The 24,093-nt window shown below is 37.3% G+C and overlaps 1 protein-coding gene across 11 annotated transcripts in view, besides 1 other annotated feature; it reads right to left on the reverse strand.

Moving 5' to 3' along the window:
• The window catches only part of GMDS (GDP-mannose 4,6-dehydratase), a 621,800-nt gene that overhangs the window by 476,143 nt on the left and 121,564 nt on the right, over positions 1-24,093 (reverse strand). For all 11 annotated transcript variants that reach the window (XR_007059239.1, NM_001500.4, XM_011514500.2 and 8 more), the window contains exons 3-4: positions 17,521-17,608; positions 15,823-15,932 (exon numbers count right to left, since the gene is read on the reverse strand). Coding sequence is in view for 10 of the 11 variants with exons in the window: in NM_001500.4 (NP_001491.1) it covers positions 15,823-15,932; positions 17,521-17,608 (198 nt within the window). In the remaining variant the exon portion in view is untranslated. The remainder of the gene's footprint in view (positions 1-15,822; positions 15,933-17,520; positions 17,609-24,093) is intronic.
• Positions 17,024-17,574: an enhancer, noted in NCBI's record as "NANOG hESC enhancer chr6:2117206-2117756 (GRCh37/hg19 assembly coordinates)". NCBI's record gives its function as "activates a minimal SCP1, AML or CMV promoter by ChIP-STARR-seq in naive H9 embryonic stem cells {active_cell/tissue: H9 hESC(naive)}" and the evidence as "EXISTENCE:reporter gene assay evidence [ECO:0000049][PMID:30033119]".

Below are 24,093 nucleotides of genomic sequence, written 5' to 3' on the forward strand. Positions count from 1 at the left end.
AAACAAATTGGACAATCATGAAATTTTGGGGTTGTAGGAGATCTTGGAGAACATACAGCATAACTCTTACCTGTTTCCCAAAGCCTCACATCCTATTTTACAGATGGGAAAACTGAGGCCCAGAGAGACTATGTGTCTTCCTCACAGGTTTGTTTTACATGATTATAAAAATTCTGACAAGATTAATTCCCTTAATTTCACATGACAAAGAAAAAGTACCCTGTGCTAGTTAGAATTTAGAAGGTTTTATATTTCAATATACCAATCAAAAATATAAATCAATGAGGCTTAAATCACAGAATTACAATTAAAATTGGGTTAAAGAAATGTAAATAAATTGCCAATATAGTGAAATCGTCATTCCATGTGTTAACCCTATAGTTATCTTTTGGATTTATTACAAATTCCTATGAGATAAATAACTTCTAAGTTTTCAAAAGGTGGCCACATCTGTGTTCTTCTAATGTCCTAAACATTACAACAATTAATATTTTTATCATTACACTGATGTTTCAATAAGATACCTCTATATGCAACCAACTATTTTATTTTATAAAGCTGTACTAGAAAGGTCTAACGTCACAATACAATGTAAATAAACTACAGATTATTCCGTAAAATATTTTGTATGTGGCAACAAACATATGCCTTTAAGTTTGACTAATACAAATGGAAGACTATTAATAAAAACTAAATGACAGCAACAAAATCTATATCACTGACGAGTCAAGATAGTATACATAGCATCAGATCATAGAGCTAATGTTAAAAAAACTCAAACATGTGATAGGGGCACTACACAAAATGTCATGTGCTAACATCTGGAATTAAGATTACTTACAGTGGAAAAAATAAAACGTCCCCGAAAAGTGAAGGCACGCATTAAATCTTGGCACTCTTTTTATAGTTGTTTTACATATAGAAATGTAATTCTTACAAAGAACTAATTTCACTAAAGGTTACAATTGTACTAGTATTTTCTGTAAGAATGCAAGAAAATGAGTAAGATTAGTCAAAACTCTGTTAACTTCTATGTTATTATGAAAGATATTGCAATTTTTGTATTAAACATTTCATGTGCCTATGACCTGACATTACTGAGATTTTTTTTTTAAAAAGTGAGCATTTAAGTGTCAAAATTTTACTGAAAAGTTTTTACTGAAAGTACTAATTTAGTATGTAATTTATGTTACATTATAAAAAACAGTTTTTTACTGGCTAGGAACTAAAAATCTCTGACCAGATAAGGGTTTAACCGGGATGTTTCTGTTGTAGTTAAAACACATCTTTTCCCAAGTGATAGAACTTGGGAAAGTTCTTAGGAAATTCTTTCATAAGTAGCATGGTAAAAAAACACTAAAAAAACAAAAAACAAAAAAAAGAGAGAAAATAAAAAATGAAATTTCAGTAAAGCTTTTCAGAAGAAAAAACACAAGAAAAAGGGACAAACTAATATTTCACACATTGGAAATCCAGTAACTGCTTTATGGATTAGTCTCTGGATCCTGTGCCAACAAAGTTGCACCACCAAGAATCATCATCATGTAAGATGGTTCAACCTGATAAGTGGAATCCCCAGTTAGAAACTGAGAGAAAGAGAAAAGAATCTCCCACGAAATGAGAGAAAGTATATCAAATCTATCTGAAACCATTCCTCAAGAAAGACGAAATATGAGCAATACATTTATGAACTTATGTGTTTATCTAAAATAAAGACACAAACTGTGGGGGAAAAAAGGCAATTAAATTTAGCGCCAAAATTGAACTTTAGGGCATTTATATTACACAAATTTTTCCACTAACCATTAACACTTCATTGAAAAACAATGGCCACATGAGAAAACATACTTCGTGATTACATGCAATCATCTATCAATTTAAATAATTTTCAAAGTATCTATATATGTTTAAATATTTTACATCAGATAAAAGAAAGGACAATTTGGACATAAAGGAAAATCTAAGTATCATAAGCACAAAACTTTGGTATTTTAACCTCAAACAACAGTGTGCGCTCTAGTTTATTAATCAACAGGAATGCTACTTAATTAACCATGTGAAAGTTAAAGTAAGTAAGAAAGACAAACAAGGCAAGTATTACTTAAGCTATTATTATACTACACTGGAAATTTTTCAAATATCTAAGATTTTGTAAGATGTAGTCACGTAAACAAATGTAAAGCCATCATAAATTAAAATTGGTTATAAAATGCCAATAAAACATTGAAGTCCCCTATAATTCATACAAAATCTGTTTTTAGACTTTAAAAAGGGCATCAAAAACTATAAAGTGTATCATTTTTAAAAGCCCATTTAAAAATTATAAGCAAATTGAAAAAAATGTTATTAATTATCCAACATTTAATTATTCATGCAAAATATTTATAAAATATTGTCAAGGAAAATAAATGTTCTAGTGCTAATATGAAGAAAATTAATATGCTGGTTTTTAAAAAAAGTTTTAAAACAATATTCTTCAGTTAGTAAGCAACACAAATCACTTAGATTTGCCTGCTTGAGACACGATTCTTTTGAAACCAAGCAATTGAAGGAAATGGTGTTGCAATACTGTCCGTTTAATGAAAACCGTGGCAGTGAAAAGGTCACATAAATAATCTGCACGATGTTATTGCATTAAGAAAGTCACAGTCTAAATCTAATGCCTGCCAAAGAGGGGCTAAAAGTGTAAAAGAAAAAGTACGCAGTCACCTGCAAAACATATTATATTCTGATTAAAAGCTGTTTTTAAACAACCTTTTAATCTAAAACCCATTTGCTATCTCAAAAATGACCTATAAAGAAATGTTTATGTAATTGTGACTAATTCAATTATCTTACACCCTGGTTTTAAGAAATATATGATAATGAAAGTTCAACTTATAAAATTCCATTTAATTAAATTAAAAATTCACAAAATTGCAAGATTATGTGTTTAGACATCAGAATTTTCTTTGTCCTTGTTTTCAAACCGCCTACACTACTAAAAATATTAGGGTAACACAGATAATATCTGTGCATACAAACTGAAGTTAACACAGTAGACTGCTTAAAACAGAAAAACTACATACATATCTTCTTTTTCTACTGATATGACAGAGTATAACCAATTAATCATTAATAAGTAACAAGCAACAGCCAGAATATGTTTAATGCTTCATTAAAACAACATTGAGGCCCATTACAGTACACAGCGTACGATGCTGGAAACCACCTTATACCCTCGCAAACCGCATTCCCTTCTAACCTCATTTGGGGGAAGCAGCTAGAGGATGAATGGCAATATGCTCTCAAGTAAGCTTTTATTAAGTATGAGAAATAAATTATATTAAGTGTTATTTTTTGAACTCAGAAATGAGGGAAGGGGTTGTTAAGATATCAAATTTACTAAGAAAATAATTATGTCAGAAATAACGTTGCTGTCACAAGAGAGACTTGCCAGATACTGCTTTTAAGCACGTTGTTATACACACCTTTAGAATAAATTTTGTGACCCAGAGATTAGTCTGTGGTACTAAAATTCCTGAGAGTAGACCAGAAAAAAAATAGAGGGTAGGAGAAATGTTTTCCTAAACAATGTTAGCATTACTCTAGTGGCATTAAGAAGCCCTTATTTCGTTTATAATTAGTAAGATACTGAGGTGATGGGATTGTTAAGGACATGTTACAAATTGCTTTTCTACAACTCACTTCCGAATCTCAGTTTCTACTAAATATGATTCTACTTCATTAGATCCTCATGACTGTGATCTCACCAAATGCAATTCTAAAACTTGAAAATTACCTTGGAAATTTGTGAGAAGCCACAGAAAGGTCCTCGGAAGCACACACATATTAAATATTAATTATAATGATGACTGTCATCTTTTATAGTGATTATGTCATTATTTAGGAATGTTAATTAAGACATAAAATGACTTGTTAATAGCAAATGCATTCTTAAGCAATATATTTGTGCTTGTGCACTTAACAGCAAACCCAGTATGGGGACTGAACCATAATAGACTACAGTTCTATTTTCTAAAATGCTGACATTTGAGCAAACGTTCCCAGGGAATGTTTGCCTGATTCGTGGACTGACATTTCCTCTTTGTAACTTGCTTAACTAAAGAGGAGACATGCAGGCCAAACTCCACAGTGCCCGCAGGCAGCAGGCTATTGCTTGCCGCTGCAACTTGTGCGTGGTTTCTCTTTTACTTCCCTCTGGCCCTACTGCCCCTCAGCCCTTCACTGTCTCTTTATTTTGACATGCATATTATCTTAGCTGATTTCAATCATCTTACAGGAGTGGATGACATACCTTAAAAGATTAAGCTTCCCCACCTGGGATTTGTCCAGAAATTCAGTGTATTACAGCTTCTCAGAGCCTTCTTCGTTCTCCTATATTCTTGTGTTATCAATAGTAGCTTTCTTTCTTATTTTATGTTTAAGTATGAGACACAGGCAGCTATGCTGATGGAGTCAGTTTGTACTGTCACTCATCTTTCACTACAACTGCAAGGTTCACTTCCTTTGTCTAATTCTTTGCTGCCATCTATGTGTATAAAAGAGCACAACATTCTTAAACACACCAGAAACTTCCTCAGTTTCAAAAACAATCATGTCTCTAATCTAGAGGGATGAAGAAGGAAGCTTTAGGGATAATTTGCTTCCCTACACAAACGTAAAGCTTATTGGAAATTTCCATTTCTTTCTCTGTGAAGCAAATTTATAAAACTGAAAAATGACTGAAGTTACATTATTTAACATAATATTATTGAACATAACCAATAGATTTTTTCCATTATTGCTGCTGATAAATTTTAATTTGGCAAATTTGATGAACTTATGCTTGAAAAACAAAAGTTGAAATTTTAAGTCACTTAAGTAAATAATTCCAATAAGATAAATTAATTTTTGCTAAATTGCAATCTAAATATCTTGCCAAATGATAGAGTGAAATGATCACTAAACCTAACCGGGTGCGGTGGCTCACGCCTATAATCCCAGCACTTTGGGAGGCTGAGGCGGGCAGATCACAAAGTCAGGAGATCGAGACCATCCTGGCTAACATGGTGAAACCCCGTCTCTACCAAAAACACAAAAAATTAGCCAGGTGTGGTGGCAGGCACCTGTAGTCCCAGCGACTCGGGAGGCTGAGGCTGGAGAATGGCGTGAACCCGGGAGGCGGAGCTTGCAGTGAGCGGAGATCACGCCACTGCACTCCAGCCTGGGTGACAGAGCGAGACTCCGTCTCAAAAAAAAAAAAAAAAAAAAAAAGAAATGATCACTAAACCAAAACACTTTCCTAATATTTAATATAAAGCAAATGCAAAGCAAACAGATGAAAAAATTATTTACACACATTATGTAAACAACCAATAACTCAAATATTGTGACATAATAATCGACTAACTTCTGTCAAATATTCAAACACTTCTTCTCTAGGGAAGATGGAGAAATGTATCAGACCACACTAAAGAGCCTCTCAGCCTCCCCTTTAGGACTGACCATACTGGCTCTGAATTGTCCTAAGATAAGTTAGTGTCAAACAAACAAATAGAAAGGCACTCTAGTGTGAGCCATATGGGAATGTTACAACAAACAAAAAAACCCTGTCCCCTACACCATGTAACAATTAATCCATGCACTCAGGGTAAAGACTGGTTATTTACCATCAGTACTAATAATGTGGGTTGACAGTCTTGAAGAATGTCCTAAAAGGTTTATTTTGTCAATACCACTAATTTCTAAAAGACTTTACTGTTATATACTAAAAAAATAAAAACCTGGCACCAATGAAATATATGGAATGGGAGTAGAAAAGAAACTCAGGAACAGGTTTTTTTACCCTGATATACCAAACAGCATAAGAAGTGCGAAACTGCTGCCTCTTCTCTATCAGCTCCCATTTAGAATAACTGCATAATTGCTATCAACACAATACTCCTCTTCTCTGGCAAACATTTCACTTTAATTATCAACACTAGAACCGTACACAAGTTGAGCTAACCTTTCAGGGTGCAACATTTTCTAAAGAATCAGTCTCTTAACGATAAACTGTTAACGGAGCTGTAACATGCCAAACCAAGGCTTGATGTGCGGTTTCTTATAAATAAAGCAAATCTAAATTCGCTGTGGATTACACTTTAAATTAACATTTCCAAACTAGGAACATACTCTGCCATTTTTCAAAGAGTAAAAGTGATACCTACTAATCACTCATCTTCGATCTTAGACATTTTTCAAAAAATAGAAATCTGATACATTCAAACCATTTTCATATGATTTATTTCTTGCTGGCACTGGTAAGGTATCCAATTAATGATTTACAGTACAAAGTAGCAGAAAAAATTCTTACGCATTACATTTTTTGAACTAGAAAAGATTTCATTTTATTTTACCGTACTAACTTTAAGGATCCAACTTTAACAAGGCAAATTTTATAAACTCCGCCATATGTAAGGATAAAGTAGAAATCATATTTAATATCAAGCTTTACTATGTATTTTAAAAGAGGTATTAAGTCTAATTTTTTTAAATATACATACAAATTTTGGGGGCGGGGGAGATACATTATGGTATTAAACAAAGTATCATTTATGTCTTCACCTTAATTTATGTAAATTACATACTGTAATCTAATCAAGAATCCTGGCTGGGCAAGGTGGCTCATACCTGTAATCCTAGCACTTTGGGAGGCCAAGGCAGGTGGATCACCTGAGGTCAGGAGATGGAGACCGGCCTGGCCAACATGGTGAAACCCTGTCTCTACTAAAAATACAAAAATTAGCTGAGCGTGGTGGTGGGCACCTGTAATCACAGCTACTCGGGAGGCTGAGGCAGGAGAATTGCTTCAACTCAGGAGACAGAGATTGCAGTGAGCCAATATGGTGCCACTGCACTCCAGCCTGGGCGACAGAGCGAGACTCTGTCTCAAAAAAAGAAAAAAAAAAGGAAAAGTTTTACTCACAGTGTATTTACTAACTTACTCTTTACCCACCATTTTTATAAATAGCATCTAGAAATTAATATTGTGGTAAATATGTTCATTTAGCTATTTGTATTAATTTTAGCTTAATATATATAAAATAATGTTGCAATACTAAAATAATGCTACTCTGGATTTTATTTAGTAAACAAGCCACTATTTATAAACACATTAAGGGTGAAAAACCCAACAAGCATAGCTTTGTGTGGTCCACTAATTAATTATGAGCAAAATTCCAAACATTATTAGCTGTTATCAAAATTACAATACCACCTAGCTCTAATAAAACAGAACAATCTGTTTGAACAGGGAGAGGAGAACTTTCATAGAGTGTTCTCTCTCATATAAATTCTTAATGGACTATAAAGGACTTTTTAAGTGGTTTTAGATTTGAATTCAATTGCTCAAATCTACAACAGGCTTCCAAGAAGAATCTGAGCCAGATGACACACAGGCACCCACCAACAGCATACACTCCTGCCTACCCTGATGAATACAAAGTCAAACATGCTCAACTTCTTCCTAAGAACCATGGGAATAAACTAGTCATATTTACAATCGTGGTGTTTATTCATTATAAACCTAAACATGAAATTATAAAATGAAAAAGGTTTCGTATTGCAATTTTGCGCTGTAACAAATAAAAGTGGTTACAAACTGTATTAAGTTATCACGGGGGCTGTGTCCACACAGGTGAAGGGACAACAGGACTGATCAGAAAGAAATGGGAGCTTGTAGAACAAAAACAAACAAAACCGTAACATTACTTGACCGTAGAGGTTTGTTCCATCCACATCACCTATTCACAGAGATTAAAAGTATCCAGTCTTTGCTCCAAGCACCTACTCACTGTACCTGTAAGAGAGCTAATTCTTCTAGACACAAAAGGCACTATAGTATGCAGGGATATTAGGTCTAAATGCAAACATACCTTATTAATCCTCAGGCTTTCAAAGTACTCACTGCTCTTTAACAAGTAAAGCATTCTGCTCATAAGGAATCTTTATTATTTGAACATTCATAATTTGCTAACAAACTAGAGTGATTTATGTTGCTCTGAGCACATCTAAAAATTACATAAGACAAGAAAACAATGAGTTTTAAAACTCATATAACATCATAATAAACTATATCGATTCATAAATATACTAAGCAAAATAAGTTATCTTCAGAGACCCAATATGAAGTTACAGTTTGTGTATACTAATATATGGACAAAAATGTATTTTCAGTGCTAAAGCAGAAATATTTATTTTTAGATCTTAGAAAATAGGTTAATTCACATTATACTTATATAACTGACTTGACAATTTCATTTAAAAATAATTGTATGAATAGGAACAAGCTGCTCATTCTAACAACGTCTTCATTAAGAAATTGTAGCAAATATTATTTGCCTCCCATAGCTTTTAGGGAAGCTAACTTACAAACCACCATGGTGTAGATATTCAAAATTTTAAATTTTATATTGAATTAAATTGTACTACCCTAACCAAAAAGATGATTATCATTCCTGATGAGTTAGTACCGTGGATTTCTGTTGTCTGTATATATTATATATATTAATTTTATGTTAGTATCACTGATGTGCTAACATTGCACCTGGCATTGTTGAATTTGGGGATCTTCTAGCTATTCAAATACTCTTTCATATGGTATTAATTAAAACCAGTTCCCTCCAGCAAGGAAAGAACAATGTTTTAAACTCAAACTCAAATGCACCAAAACTTCATTTCACCGTAGTAAACAGTGGGAATGACAAGAGGTCCGATATAAAGTATCAGAGTCCTGCGGTATCTTCCCCTCACAGTTCAACGATACTGCCCACCTCGGTATTCTCAGCTTAGTAGTGTGACAGGAAGACTGAGTGGCATCATATCTGGGCTGGAGACTAGGTAGCGTGTGGCTGCTTATGAACCGCACGTCCAGGTGGGCACCTGTGAAATAAGTGCTTGAGCTGGCTCTGTGCCAAAATCTTTGCCACTTTAGAATTCTAGAGCCCATTTATTAAAAAACAAAGGATCCAAAACATCACTTTTTCCTTTAGAATACATCATAACAAGTTAACATTTTGGTGGCAGGAAATACAGTTATTTGAATGAGGAAGACATTCTTGCAATCATTTCGAACAGCAGCTAAGGCAAATGACAGGCCTCAGTCCCAGGCAGAAACAGCAAAGACGGATATGTTGACTATGTAACCTGAGCCCATCCATTTCTCTAGATAATTTGCCTCAAGTTAGACTGAACTGTGAGCAGGCAGCACACTGGGACTGAAGTGAAGGAGGACACACAGCGGCCAATGCATATTTCCTTTCCCCCATGCCCACTGCATTCACTGCTTGCCTCCTTCATCAGGACTTGGGGTGGTGAGGGTCCAATCCCAGGAGAGATATTATTGGAGACAGGATGGTCAGGGGGCCTCACGGAGAAGCTGATGCTTAAGTTCGAGTGTAGTTAAGGGAATGAGACAAGTAGATATCTAGGGAAAAAGAGTTACAGTCAAGTCCACATACATAGGCCCACAGGTAGAATCACATCTTAAGGAAACACAGCCTAAGGCAGGTGCTTGCTGCATGGATGAGAAAAACAGAAGCATAAAAAGGCTAAGTGCCCTCTTAGGGTCATGTAGTGAGCATGTGACGTGACCAGGATTTTAAGCCACAGAAAAGTCCAAGACCCAGGGTCTGGTGTGGACCTGGATATGAAGTTTTAGAGTGTGTCCCAGGAACCGTGATATGCACCCCTGATTTGATAACCTTGCCTGGACCATAGTTTCTTGTGAGAACATTCCTCTCTTCTGCCCCATGGCAGTCGTCTGTTCCAGTAGTGGACATAATGTCTCCCCGCTGCATCCTCTGGGCACAGGGCCTGTAAAGGGCCGATGGCTGTATTCACACATGTTAACTTACTGAATGCTAACATGCAATTGTATGGGCCACAGGCCAGGCCCTCATCCACATTTCAGGATGTTCTAACAGCTTCTCTTTCCTTCTAACAGCAATAGCTACGCTCCCTGCCTGCTCCTTACTTTCCTGCTCTACTCACACCTCCCTGTCAGGCTCCCCAGGGTCCAAAATAAATAAATGAATGAGCAAGAACACAGAAGAACAGTCCCTCTCTGCTGTTTGCTCTGGGTTTTTAATAGGCTACCCCCTATCCTTACTGTAATTACACGGTAAAGGGCCACGCTGTTGCAATTTTGTTTTGTTCTATAATTGGGTTAGCCAGGCACTAACCAGATGTTCAACTATAGACTCCCACCTTTCACCAACCGCCCTTCCCCCCCATAATGCAATTCTCCCAATGTATTTGTTCACCCACCCCCCTCCCTCAATTAGAACAGCCCCAAGAGGTTCAGGCTTCCTGGGGACGAATATGGGGGTCAGCTATTAAGGTACGGATTTCAACTCTCAGAACCACCAGGAAAATGTCACTGGAGATGACAGTTCTTTAGCTTAGGTAATTCAGTTTCTTGGGCCCTTTCCCAGGGGCCACAGATTTAATTCCTATGGCTATTTTTATTCCCACCTCCATTCCTTTAACTAGCTTTTCTGTCTCATCCCTCCTAGATTCTAACTTCGTGCCAGGTCACTAACGCACTGGCCCCTTGACTCACAGTCAACTCTGCCTCCTGACTGGCATCCCAAGCTTGAAGTCCCACGTGGAGGAGTGTTCAGACTCAACCCCCTGGGGCTTCCACAGTCAGAATCTGCTAACTTGTCCCGCACAACTCTGTGAGGAAATCTCAGCTCCTGCCACATGGTCATGACCCAGTGTACCTCCCAGGCACTCATGCCTCCTAGCAGTCCTGAAACAAAATTAAACAAATAACTTACACAGAGACTTGAAAAGGAAAGTAATACAGATATTTAAAGGGTTAGAAAAGGAGTAGAAAGTATGGGTTATTCAATCTGAGTAAGAGAAAGTGAAAGAAAGACACACTCATGGTTTGTAACGCTGAGAAAGAATTTGAAAATCCTTTTCAAAACTAAAAAAAAGACTAAGTGACTTTCTGTCTCCACTAAAGACACATTCCACAATGGAATAACTGTTGTTTCTTTGAGAAAAATCAAGGCAATTCCAACATGGCATTGTGAGGCAAAGGAAAGAAATACTGCACTAGGTTCACTGTAGAAAGATCTCACCAACACCACTACTTTGAAAATGACATTAAGATTATTAAAGAAGCTCCAAGACATGGGGGACGAATCGAAAATCCGGACAGCAATTAAAGTTAAACAATTAAGCAACACTATTACTTACACAGCAAAAAATACACAAACCAACCAACCGCACAACCACAACAAAAAAAGCAGTTTCCTAAAACATTTTCTCCATCAAATGGGCAGGACTACGCATTGGATAATTTGTTCCTACTTGGATGATGTCATCATGCTAGGTTTAACTTCTTTTAATAACTAGTACATTTCAGTCATCTCTCACTTTCTCCCACATAAGATCAAACCAGCCTTTCAATGACCTACTTCATGAGTCATAATTTTTCTGTTTATGATTCAGAAAAATGTCTTCAGTCAGTATTTCCCAGACTTCTGTGGGTTTATTCCAAGAACCAATTTCATCTTCGCTGGTTTCCTACAGGAAACCAGAGCAACTTCCTATTATTTTATTTTCCTTACTTTTAGCATACCCTAGCCCACATCAAGTTAACTGGAAGTGAGAGCGGTAGGAGACTTTATTCCATACAAACAGAAGCCAACACAAACAACACCCAGTCTAGAAGTCACGGGTGCAAAATTAAATGCAAATGTGTGCTAATATTAGGACCTTTTTTCAAAAGGACACCAAACCAAATAACAAGAAATTTAATTAATCTTATGGCAAACATTACACTGTCAGAAGTAACTTTTTTTGTCTAAATATATCTATGAATACAATAAATTCTACAAAGCTGATTAATATAGAGAAATTAACTATAAGAAACAAAATATGTATTTTTTCATCCTAATTCCTTCCCTAACAAGCTACTAGAAAACAAACAAACAATTGCAACCCACCATGGAGAGCCCTGGAGAGGTGAGGGAACACAGCAGCATGCTGCCAGCAACCTGACAGATGAGCAGTCTGTGATCACATGGCGCCATCATCCCAGGCCCCTTCCCCACGCCCGCTCTGGCCATGACGAAGCCTGTCCACAGATCACAGCATAAACAGTGGTATGGAACAGGGATTTCGAAGGACATTCTAAGAGGAGCTGTTCATACTAAGTACTTGAGAAGTATTTATTATCTCAGACTATGTACAATTCAGAAAAAGAGGTTTCTGAATATCAAGAACTTTGATACAAACATATATCATATTCGCTTTCCATTCTTATAACTCCTGACTGCAGACGTAGTTTTGGGCTTTAAAAGCTCATTAAGTCATTAACTAGTAAGTAATAGGATTATTTTACATCAAACTCAAAAACCTATATATTAAAGGCAAAGGTCTAAGAAGAAAGCATTTAAGGAACATATTCTATTTGGATAAACCAAGAAACCTGAAACACTAGAACAAGGGTTCTCAAAGTGCGGTTCCCAGACCAGGGACAGCATCATCTGGACACACCCTAAAAATGCAAGTTCGAAGACCCCACCCTAGACCTAAAGAATCAAGGATTCTGAAGAGAGGCCTGGCAACCCACAAATGATGCTACAAGCTTTACCCATCATATTCTCTCTTGTCCCTCTACATAAAAATTTCTGGAAAAAAATGCATTCAATTTGCATTTCCCTTATAACCTCTCAACTTCTAAACCCCTTGCACGCTGGCCAAGTTCTTCTGTCACATCACTAAAATGTTTCTTTAAAACGTCACAAATCCTCGCTGGCCTAACTGGCAAGGCCGGTGACTTTTCCTGGTCCTCATTCTCCTAGCCTCATCCCCTCTTGCTTGCAATGACCCAATTTCTTGACTGCCATGGCACAATCCCACCCTCTGCCTCCTCCACTTCAGTCATCAGCCCTACTTGTCCTCATCCCACCCTCTCACTATCAACCTGTTTCCAAGATTCAATCTTCAGTCCTCTACCCGTCTTTCTCCAGTTACTACTTGGCATCTTTAAGACCTCAAGAGCTGAATATACAGCTCTGTACCCTAGATCTCTCTCAAAACTCACAGCATATTTGAAGCTACCTTATAGCCTGCTTCCCTTGAATGTCCTTCAAGTAACGCCAGTAAAATGTTTCCAAAAGGGAACTTATTTCTCCAACCCCACTCCAAAAGTTCCTCCTTGAATGTCGGTTTCTAGTACTGGTTCTATTGACCTTCTGGTCCCCTGGGCACTGGAGCCCTGGGTTTCCCTCTTCTCTAGTGACCACATCAGTGCATAGAGAAATCAGCCCCACCTGGCATCCTGTTTCATTCCTCACTCCCACCCCCATTTCTAGTGACACCATCCTCATCCAGCAACTTCCTAGCTCTTCTTAAGCCCTACCTCTAGACTCTTACCTCTAGAAGTCATCACTGAATATATCTTCCCCCGTTCAAAACATGGGTAGCTGCCCAGGCACAGCCCAGCTTCCTACCTGACCTTACCTCACACTTCTCCTCATACTGGTTCTGCTCAGCTCATCTCGAATGCTCATGATGCTGCAAACATGTACCAAGTTTTCCCACTTCTCTTTGCCTCATATTATTACCCCCGTTTCAACTATTAGTTTCCCGCTACGTCTGTAACTCTGTAACTGTCCTCTCTATACCTCAACACCAGAGCCAGTGTCGGTTCCGCCTCGCACTATCCATCTACCCCCAGACGGAAGTTCTCTCTTACCCTCCTCTAAAGAGTCAGACACTTGTGCCAATCACCCCTCCTAGAGTTGAAACCCCCACAGCAGAGGTGTATCTGACACAGCTTTTCGTACTGTACCATGCATGACACCTTGCATGAGGTATGCACTCAACAAATATTTGTTGGAAGATTAAATGACCTTACAAACCAAAATTCTCACTGAAGAGTGCCATTTCCGCCCATTAACTAACCATTAAGAAAAGCAGCCAAAATACCATAAAAAAAGATAAACTTCACATGTGTAGCAATGTAGAGGGAACCAACTCAATAGCCTATGATTTCTATTACTTACAGTACAACCACACCAGAACGATAACAAAACACTATCATGATCACTACAACTAAGAAAACCAACTATAACATATTTCTGAACTATAAATATGTTTTGGGGAAAGGAAAGAATCAGCCCATTTAATACTAAATGACAAGGGGAAGGTCTTCTATAAATAAACCTTTATAAAAATTTTCTGCATCTTTCATTACAATTTTCAGCTCCTAGAGGTGATAAACTATCTATGATTACAAAGGAAACTTCTTAATCTAAAGGAAACTGAATAACAGAATGTTCATTCCAAAACATTCTGTTTTGTCTGGAAGATACTCTCATGGCTGGTCAGGAAGGTCAAGAAGCAGCCAGATGACTTATAATGTGGAAGATAGACTGACTACCTCAATTAGGGAAAAATAAAGTCTTCATTCCTGGAATGATAAAAAGTCACCGCTTCTCTATAGGAAAGAAGGGATGTAATTTCTCAAGCACACAGTATGCATAAGAGACTTTCCAAAATGAAAAAACACATGGAGAATCATTTAGAAAAATAGCTAAGCTGTAACCTAAAGACCCTGATACCTTTCACAGACTTTGGTGAAAGTCTGGATATAGAACAGAATCATCACAGATTAAGAAAAGAAAAATGTTTCTTCATAGACAGCACAGGCAGATATGAGGTATCATCATTCATCGATATGTAGCCATCCTTCAAGGTTAACATTTGAAAGAAATACATATAATGAAGACTGGCAATCAGTTATAAGATTGAGTTTATTGCTATGTTTCTCTCACCATGTTCTCCACTTGGTTTCATTTTATCTAGTTCATGATTTCTTCCTTAAACAAGCAGAGGTATATAGAATAGGCATTTAGCTTCCATTCTATGCAAACATGGGGATACAGAAAAATAGCCAATCACCTAAGAAAAACTTTCTGAAATAAGACTCCTGTACTTGTTCATTAAATAGCAAAACAAACAAACAAACAAACAAACAAAAAAAAACCTCATACATTTTCTGGACTTTTGAGGGGCTTTTATAACTTAAGAGTTACTTGCTTTTATTTCTCAGGTCCACTAACCATCCTGTCTGAACAAGTATCTAAATAGAACTCCTATCATTCATGGCTTCAGATTTCACTTATTCATGTGAGCAGGAGGACACGGCAACAAAAACTTGAATTAAGCAGACCACTAGAACCCTAAGGATGGGCCTGTGATGTTTACCGTGATTCCTTCCAGAATGCGAATAGAGGGGAAAATCCACACTGGCTATATCACACTGAGGAGGAGGGAGACTAAAAAGCTTTCTTCCAATGATTTTTACCATTCACAATTAAAAAGTTAATTCAGCTAATTTTAACATATTATTGGGACTCAAAAATATTCTCTCAGCCAGTAATTTAGCCGCTACCAAAAATTGATATTAACATAAAGGTTTTACTTAGTTACATCTTCCAACATTTTAACAAAACATTTAATTCACAATCTGTTATTTGAAATGGCAGAAAACACATCCATGGGCCTCATGGCTACAGGGAACAACCCAAAATAAACAAATACTGCTATTCCAATATTAGTGGTAAGGTTTTATTATATTGTTTAATAACAGACAAGAGACTTTTAAAAAATCTATGAGTACTTCAATTAGGATTAATACTTAAACTAACACTGACAATTCAACTTGAAGACTAAGACCAGTGATTATATTACTACACTGAGAAGCAGCAGACACAAGTAAAATACAGAACGCCACAGAAACACGGCCAGAGAAATCCCAATGAAAATGCTTACTTTGACGTGGCTCTGGGCTCCAAGGTTGTAGATCTCTGTGGGCTTTACTTCATTAATGATCTTCACAAGGCAGGTACTGTCAGTGAGATCGCCATAGTGCAACTTCATGTCTTCAGGATACAAAAACATCCCATTAGATAGAGAAAAGCAACATAAGCTCAATTTTTAAAAACATCAAAATTGAAATGCATATTTGGAAAGTCTGAAAACCAGGGTCAAAATGGAAATGCTGTACTGATGGTTCTGGAGTAGCAGAATATAACTGTCACCTTTACCTAAATAATAGAAAGATAGCTACATAATGCCTATGTCTGTAAAAGATTTTGGTGGTAAACTCAGAAAAATGTTTTTTAAAGCACAGTATCACGAACATGTTATACAATAACATATCTTAGGGCTCCAGGTGGTTGTAAGATGTGTTCTGCAAGAATGAGATTCAGAAAAAGAAAACCTTGTAATAACATGTATACCATCTAAAGCAATCCATAACACTGATGATGATGAAGACAGCTCTCTTTTCTTTAGATACTTTTATCTAGTAATTTTCAAGTACTTTATAAACATCAACCTTAGGCCCTGACTGAATGCCCGATGTGGTGACATAATTGATTGAAGGACAACTCCTAAATCTAAACAGATCCTTACACTGACTTCATTAGCATAAGAATTTGATACATGTGGATGGGTGATGTACTAACTTGATCTTTTCATCATTTTTACATAATATTGATCTATATCTACATCCAGTGGCAGGACTGTTCTGAACTTTGCACAAAAACAATAATGATTTTCAAAGACAACACACTTCATGACTTAAAGTGGAAAGCCTTTTACTGTGGACAACTGCATCATCTTCCTGATGCTGTCACTACCTATACAAGTAGCCCAAACCTTCAAATATGCAGGGGTCAGGGGTGAATACAAAACCACATATGGTTTACAAGCTGACTGTATCGTCCTTGCTGGCTGGAAAAACTGGCCACATAATGCAGGCTGAACTTGGAGTTAAAATCCCTGTGTCCTGGTGACAGCTCTGCCTTCTTCACAGTGCGCAACCTCAGAAAACTCATAACCTCTCTGTCTCCATTTCCTCAACTATAATGTGCTCTCTGGGTCTCCCTATCCACCTCAGGAGTTACCATAAGCTCAAACAAGAAAACAGTCTGCTTGTGCTATATAAACTGTACAGCTGCATACAGACAAATTAATAAAAGCAGCAAAACAACTGCAAATGCTGACAATGATCAGTCATTTAGAACAGTTTTGATTGCCATTTATTTGGGCCTATCTTCACAAATTATTTTTAAAAATAATTAAATGTACAAAGATTGTTTAAATTGATTAAATTGGACTGAATATAAAAAGCGGGTCGGTGCACTGCCAGTGTGGAACTGCTCTTACTTGAGGGGATAAGGACACCTGCAGAGCGGTGATCAAAGGCATGCCCTTTCTTGGTCTCTCCAAGCCATCTACTTCATAGCCTTCTAACAGCCAAACCATCATGACACTACGGCCTAGGGCAGTGAGCAGGGAAGGTTTTCAAGGCATGTAAATCGTATTCAGTGCAGTAATTCATGGGTAAGTAATTGTGACTTGTTGGGCTTTGACAAAAATGACATTTGAAAACACCTTATCTGAACATAGGAACATCTGAAAACACCTTATAGAAAGAGATTCTAGAAAAAGAAAATGACTTACTTCCTTCAATGTGAGCCTGGGGATTCTTATACAGATGCTCAATTCGACCCGTATTAAATGAACTGGACCGCCGTACAATTCCATGGACCTGAGTTTTTACAGTGTGGAAAGATAAATGTGCAATGAGGACTAATAAACAACTTCTTTAGCTAATGTTTAGCTTTATGAAAAAAATGATTTGTAAGCATTATTTTAAATTATTAGAAATAGTCCCACTGCTTACTTTCTCCCCAACCACTGTCCACCAGCTACGAACATCCTACCTCTGTCTTTCCCCAGCGATTTTACTGCCAATCTCAACAAACGTAATCAGGTAATTATGTGACTTCATGCTTAGTTGTAGATACTCAAATGTCTCCTTTTCCAAACACACACACTTACAGCCTAACTGCTGACAAAAATATCTTTTCCATTTGAAACTGAAGACAGACCATTCGAGGCCGTGTCGGTAAAACAGCCTTTGTGGCCTGCTCACCACAGAGCACCAGGCCATCACAGCTTCTCAGTGGCCTCAGAGCTTGCACTTTGCATCTACTGTATGTATTTCTGGAGCCACAGACATCATCAGAGAGCAGATGTTACTATGCAGCTAAGTAGAAAAGTCGGAAAGCTAAAGAGCATGGGTAAGAGACAGCACTTATGTACTACTCGATTTAAGACCTAAAGAAAACTCAAACGAAGAGAGGATTCTTAAAATTGTTTTATCTTGACTTAACCATAGGTGGGGGGTGGGGGGACAGTTGATAAAACAGGAATGTAATGCATACTTGCCTGATATTGAAGAAAAGACTATTTGTGTCTGACACACAGGAGAAATTGTTCCAGACCTGGTCCCACTTCCTTCTCATGTCAGATTGCTCCCTTTGTGCTGCCAATGCTAACACCAGCTTGTCACCAGCTGCCCAAGTTCCAGTTCTACTGGTGGCAGTTTTAATCCTTGACTTATTTTAGAAGTGTTCCTTCTTATGCTGAAAAGTTCATTTGCAGCTGAATATACTTCTATATTTTAACTCAATCATTTCTATTTCAAACCAAAATTAATCCTTGGTATGACTCAAATATTCCAAATACGGAGGTAAATTATAAGAATATAAGACTTTCTTTCAAACAGAAAGAAATGTCATCATTTTAAATGGCATACATGAGAAATTGACTTCTGCGAAGGATACAACACACCCACAGTTAATATTTCTGTTGGTTAGTTGCTTTGGAAGAAAAGCACTCATCAACATTATTTTCCAAAAGAACGAAACCCAAGAAAAGTTGGTAAACACGAAAATATTTTAGGAAAGGAACTTCGCAAACTTGGTTTCACATTTTAGGAGGCAAACATTCAACCCTAGGAAGCATTAAATTGAGATTTGGCTATACATATCCACTTCTTAATTTAAACGTGGAGAAAACACTAATTTTAAGCTTATCTGTTCTACTTCATGATCTCCAATTTTTCAGGTTGCTACTTAATTGTAAAGTTGAACTGCTCTATAAACTTAATTTTAACAAAAAGTATATATTTCACATATATACTTATACATAGCAAAACTTGTGTTTACTATCAAAGTTACTTATGAAATAGATTTCTCAGATGTAAATTCTCTGTTTTATTAAATAAAAAAAGTCTATATACTAAAAAGAGTAATTTAAGTTTGACAATGAAAAGAATAACAATAGTGTTATTTCGGCTATCTTCTCTAGATTGCTGGATTCTGGGGAAGTCACATATTCCAACAGCCCAAAATATAGAGACATGCCATTTATTAATATATATTCATTACATATAAACATAAAAAGCTTTGACAAAAATATTAAATGATTTTGATGCATTCCATCTAAAATGCAGACAACTATACAAAGTCAAGCCAATCATAACCAAGACTTTACTGTCACATTAAAAATCAAAAGCATTAAGCACTGGTTGCTTTTTTTTTAAATCAAGTGTTTTAATTTCCTCTAACTCCCAACATTTGGTATGTGTACACAGGGAAAGAAAGACCTGCCAAATGCTTAATCCATGACAGCAGGTATTATTCTAAGAACTAATGAAAGCTGGGTCTGTCTGCTTCTGAGACAGGTGAAATACAAACTTCAAGACAAGCCAAAATGTGTGCAAACTGCACAATCTAGTTAAGAATTTGAGATTAGCGGCTTTCTCTTTACAGAAGGGATGTAGGTAGAGCTTTTTGTTTGTTTTTATAAGGATTTTGGGAGAAAAAGATATGAGGTGTTAGGAACCAAACTGAAAAGATAAAAGAGCTGAATTTGGCTTTATATAAACTTAATCAAAATCATTACAAAGTTATAGTAGTTCAAAAACAAAATATAATTCTGAAACACTGAGGTCTTACAATAAATGAAAATGAGTTTTTTGACAAATTTCATGTCCCACTTAACAAGGTGATAAAATGGAAAATTTCAAGTTCTTTCCATTTAAAACAAAGTTGATTTAACTTCAAAATCCACAGTCAGATCAGGTAACATAACAGAAATGCTTTATTATTTATTAATTATGATCAAGAAAATGGAAAATTATTATCACTGAATTTCAAATTCTTAGTGTCTAGATTTCTCTTGGAGGCAAGGACGACTCCCAGGGATGGTTAATGTCACTCACCTTTTGAAAAGTATAGATTATTTAAGTAATATCAATAGCTAACACTTACACAGCAATGATCATGTACTGGACACCGTTCTCTGTATGTATCAAATCACTTAATCATCACAACACCCTTACTATAATATTACTGGTCCCATTCCATGAATGAGGATGTTGCCTGAGATAACACAGCTAGTAAGTGGCAACGTTAAAGGACATAGACTTGGTCAGCCCTGCCAACACTCAGTATAGTTTCAACATGAAATCCATAAAAGCTTAGCCTTTTTTTTAATCAAAGTATAAAGGCTTCTGGGATAACAACCCAGAAGAAAACCAGTTCAAGGATTCTCACAGATTAAGAAAGAAAGTATCTCCATGTTCTAACAAAAAATCTCCCAGAGATAACAATGGGACTAACCTTATATCCATTTCTTTTCTATGCTGATACTTCATGTCACAATTTACCTATTCTTTATTTTAAATTCTGATACATTGTGTTGTAGCTGTTACCAAGTTATTTAATATATTTTCATATAGTCCCAGATTTTAGCTTTTAAAGGGTTCAACATTGTCTTTACTTCTCTGGTTTTCCTCTGTACTTAGTGCAAAATGGGTACAAAAGTGTGTTGGTTTATCTGCTAACAGTGGTGCTGGAAACACACTTAGAACTAGAATGCGCTTTCATAAAAAGCTTCATTTCTGTCAATCCTCCGTTTTCCCTTATGACAGGAAGAAATGCAAACAGCTCCAGCTTCCTAGGCAACAGAACATGCCTGCTACTCAGGAATACTCATTAATGAATCCAACTAAAGAGCCTATTAAAGATCTGTGTCCACTGGCTTGTCCACATTAGACCCCATGTCACTCTGCCACCTCCAGATCAATAAGCCCATGAGTCCCACAGAGCTCCATTGGGCTAAGTATTTTCCATATACTGTCTTATCTAACCTTCACAACCACCTTGGGAGATAGGTGTGCTTATCATCCCCATTTACAGAAAAGGCAACTAAGTCTCAGAGGGGTTGAGTGACTTGCCCAGGGTCACGGAGCCTGAAAGTGGCAGAGGAAGAGTGAGACACAGGTGTCCAGTGCCCAGCCTGAGGCTCCTTTGCCACAGCGAGCTAACCACTTTGTCCACCCCTCTGGCTCTGTACTGGTCAACAGGGATAAAGGAGAATGATCCTCTGCACTTCAGCAATGTGTAGAATTAAGTGTATAGCATAATCAAAGAGCGATTGTCCATAAAACCCAAGAATTCTTAGGTTTCCTCATTATGAGATGACCCCTGTAGGTAATAAAGAATGAAAGAGTGTTACATCCATTCTCCTCATGCTCTCCTTAACATTTAATCCTGAGCAAAATTCAAGAAACAAACAACATTAAAAACTGTCCCTTTAAACTTTTAAATTGAGTCACTTCTCAGTGAGAAGTAACCCTTCACTTTTTCATTTCAAACGGTTCATTCAGAGCATGATCAGATGTGTGGATTTCAGTGGCCACATTTGATGGCAAGGCCCCACGGCTTCAGGAGTCTAAATGTGCGTGAGGTGACACAAAGTGATTAACCACAACTAATCAATCTGTTAGTACACGCTATTGCTTTTCAAGTCATCTGCAAATGCCTATTTTTGCTTTAAGGCTAGCTAAGTTATTTATACTTTCATTTTGCTTTTCTGATGGGAGAAAAAGTAAAGGAGTGCGTCTAACTGTGCTACATGAATTCCATACACAGGGTTTGTTTTTGCCTACACCACCCACCATCACTACCCCACCAACCTGGCCCTGCTCTCCTGCATGCTCCCCTCCAGGTGACTGTGGCCTCTCCACACTGCCCATGCTTCCCAGTTTCAAAATGCACAGCTGGCCTTACCACTGCTAACCAACCAGTGTGCCTTTCTTTTCTAGAAAGAACAACTCAGCCTCAGCATCAAGCTCTTCTTCACAGTGTTTATCTGTTCCTGGTTTGTCCTCTGCTATCCCTAAGTAGGTTGTTTCCAGCTGTTCCTGACCTTAGTAGTATACCTCATACAAAGGCTAGATTCAAAATAATATGGCAACCCAGAGAAGCAAGGCCTCACGGATTTAAAATGTCTTAGGGTACCGTGTTCAACTTCATCATATGATTCAATCAATCACCTGATCTCATCTAAACCTTTAGTTGTGGTGGTTTCTCTATCTGTAGTACCCAGGCAAGCAATGTCACACTGACTGGGGTCGTGTTAGAAAGAACAATTCCCAGATCCCTGAACCAGCCTTCTGTGTCTTAACAGGGCCTGAGTGATTCTGATGCACACTAAAGGCTGAGAGTCTGAAGTCTGTAAGCATCCAAAATTGCTGATGTTGACCACCACCACTGCCCCCCACCCCGAGTTCACACGTAATAAAATACGTCCCTCTCTCATCCTACTTCATGCAATCTACTAATCCTATTCTTTTACTCATGGCCTTCAATAATCAGGGACTGCAGCTGATAATTTGGGAAATTTTCCAATGCAGCCAATTTGAAAAATTACTCTAACATTTACTTTGACCTAAGCATAAAAACATAAGGCCTGTGCCACCATCAGATTCCTCCTAATGGTTTATTCTCGAATTATACGAATCTCTTAAAATTGAGGACAGCAGCCTATTAAAGTTGAATACAGTAAGGATAAACACACTTACAGTCCCACAATATGCAGAGAGCTCACATTTCCCCTGGACTAGGAAGAGAACTAATTTCTGATTATGCTTTGTGGCTGTGTACTTTCCCGCTATAGTGTCAACCATGTTTCCTTCTATCAGTTCACGGATCTCTCTCCTAAACCTGTTTTCTCTCTCAAACATTGTTTCAATGATAAATTCCTCCCATTAACTATGATTTGCCAAGTGGGCCTTCTATTGTCTTTTTGTGTCATAATAAAATCTGCTCTTACAATTTCAAATACCACAAAAACATCTGCAGCTTATCTGGCAGTCCTAGGTTCTTGTTGCATCGATTTGCAAATCTCTCATCCTTCTTGTCTTCTGAAGTCTGCTAGTTCCTTAACAAGGGACACCTAAATGGAGATCTGCTTCTCTGCCTTTTCCAGTAACACTAACAGTACCAGGTGCTTGAGAATGGTTGCCATCTACACATCCAAACTCGCCCTGTCACTGTCACTGGGTCCACCATCACTGCAGCGCATAGCCGTGCTCCCTCCTCCTCTGGACTAGACACAGATGCTGCCTGTTAACACCACCCTCACCTCCAGTCTCAGCCCACCTTGTCCCCCTAAGAGTGGATCGCAACACTTGCGTGGTTTTGAGCATCACTTCTGACATGCCTGACACGCCACCTCACTCTTCACAAGTGCAGCGATTTCTGCTCAGCTAGCTCATTTTCTAGGTTCACTCGATACACAACAACATCACTAATTCCTCTCTAGCCACCAAACATCTCTCAGCTCATCCCAAATATCTGAAACACAGTATGGGCATCTCTCTGCCAAGCTATTCCTTTTAACAGATATTAAGGCGTTAGGTTAATCTAGCCTGAATAAATATAGGTCTTTCTCTAAAACCAACACTTTGTACTATACATAACCTACTCTAAAACTCTCTGCTCCGTAGAATATGCATTTCTTTCTCGATTATTACAGCAGCTTATGCATATGGACATACGTATACATATGTACTTTCATAATTCCATTTATTTTCATATAATTACAAAATGTAGCATTAGCTCTTGGATAAGGGTACAGAAGGTGCTAAACATATCTACTGTTACTTCTTCAAGTCTAAAAGTCAAGGCTCTCAGATTATGAGTTAAAAGAAAATTAACTTTTTTTCTTCAAATAATGTTGGCATTTAGATGCCAAATTCTTTCCTGTTGTGTTTCCATTTGCCCCAATTACACATTTTTAAAACAACGTACCAACAATTAGAATAAACAGATAATCCTAAAGTATTAATGTAAACATTCATAAAACAGATCAGAGCATACGGGCCACTGTAAAGGT

Source organism: Homo sapiens, chromosome 6 (assembly GCF_000001405.40).
Source record: "Homo sapiens chromosome 6, GRCh38.p14 Primary Assembly".
NCBI lineage: Eukaryota > Metazoa > Chordata > Mammalia > Primates > Hominidae > Homo > Homo sapiens.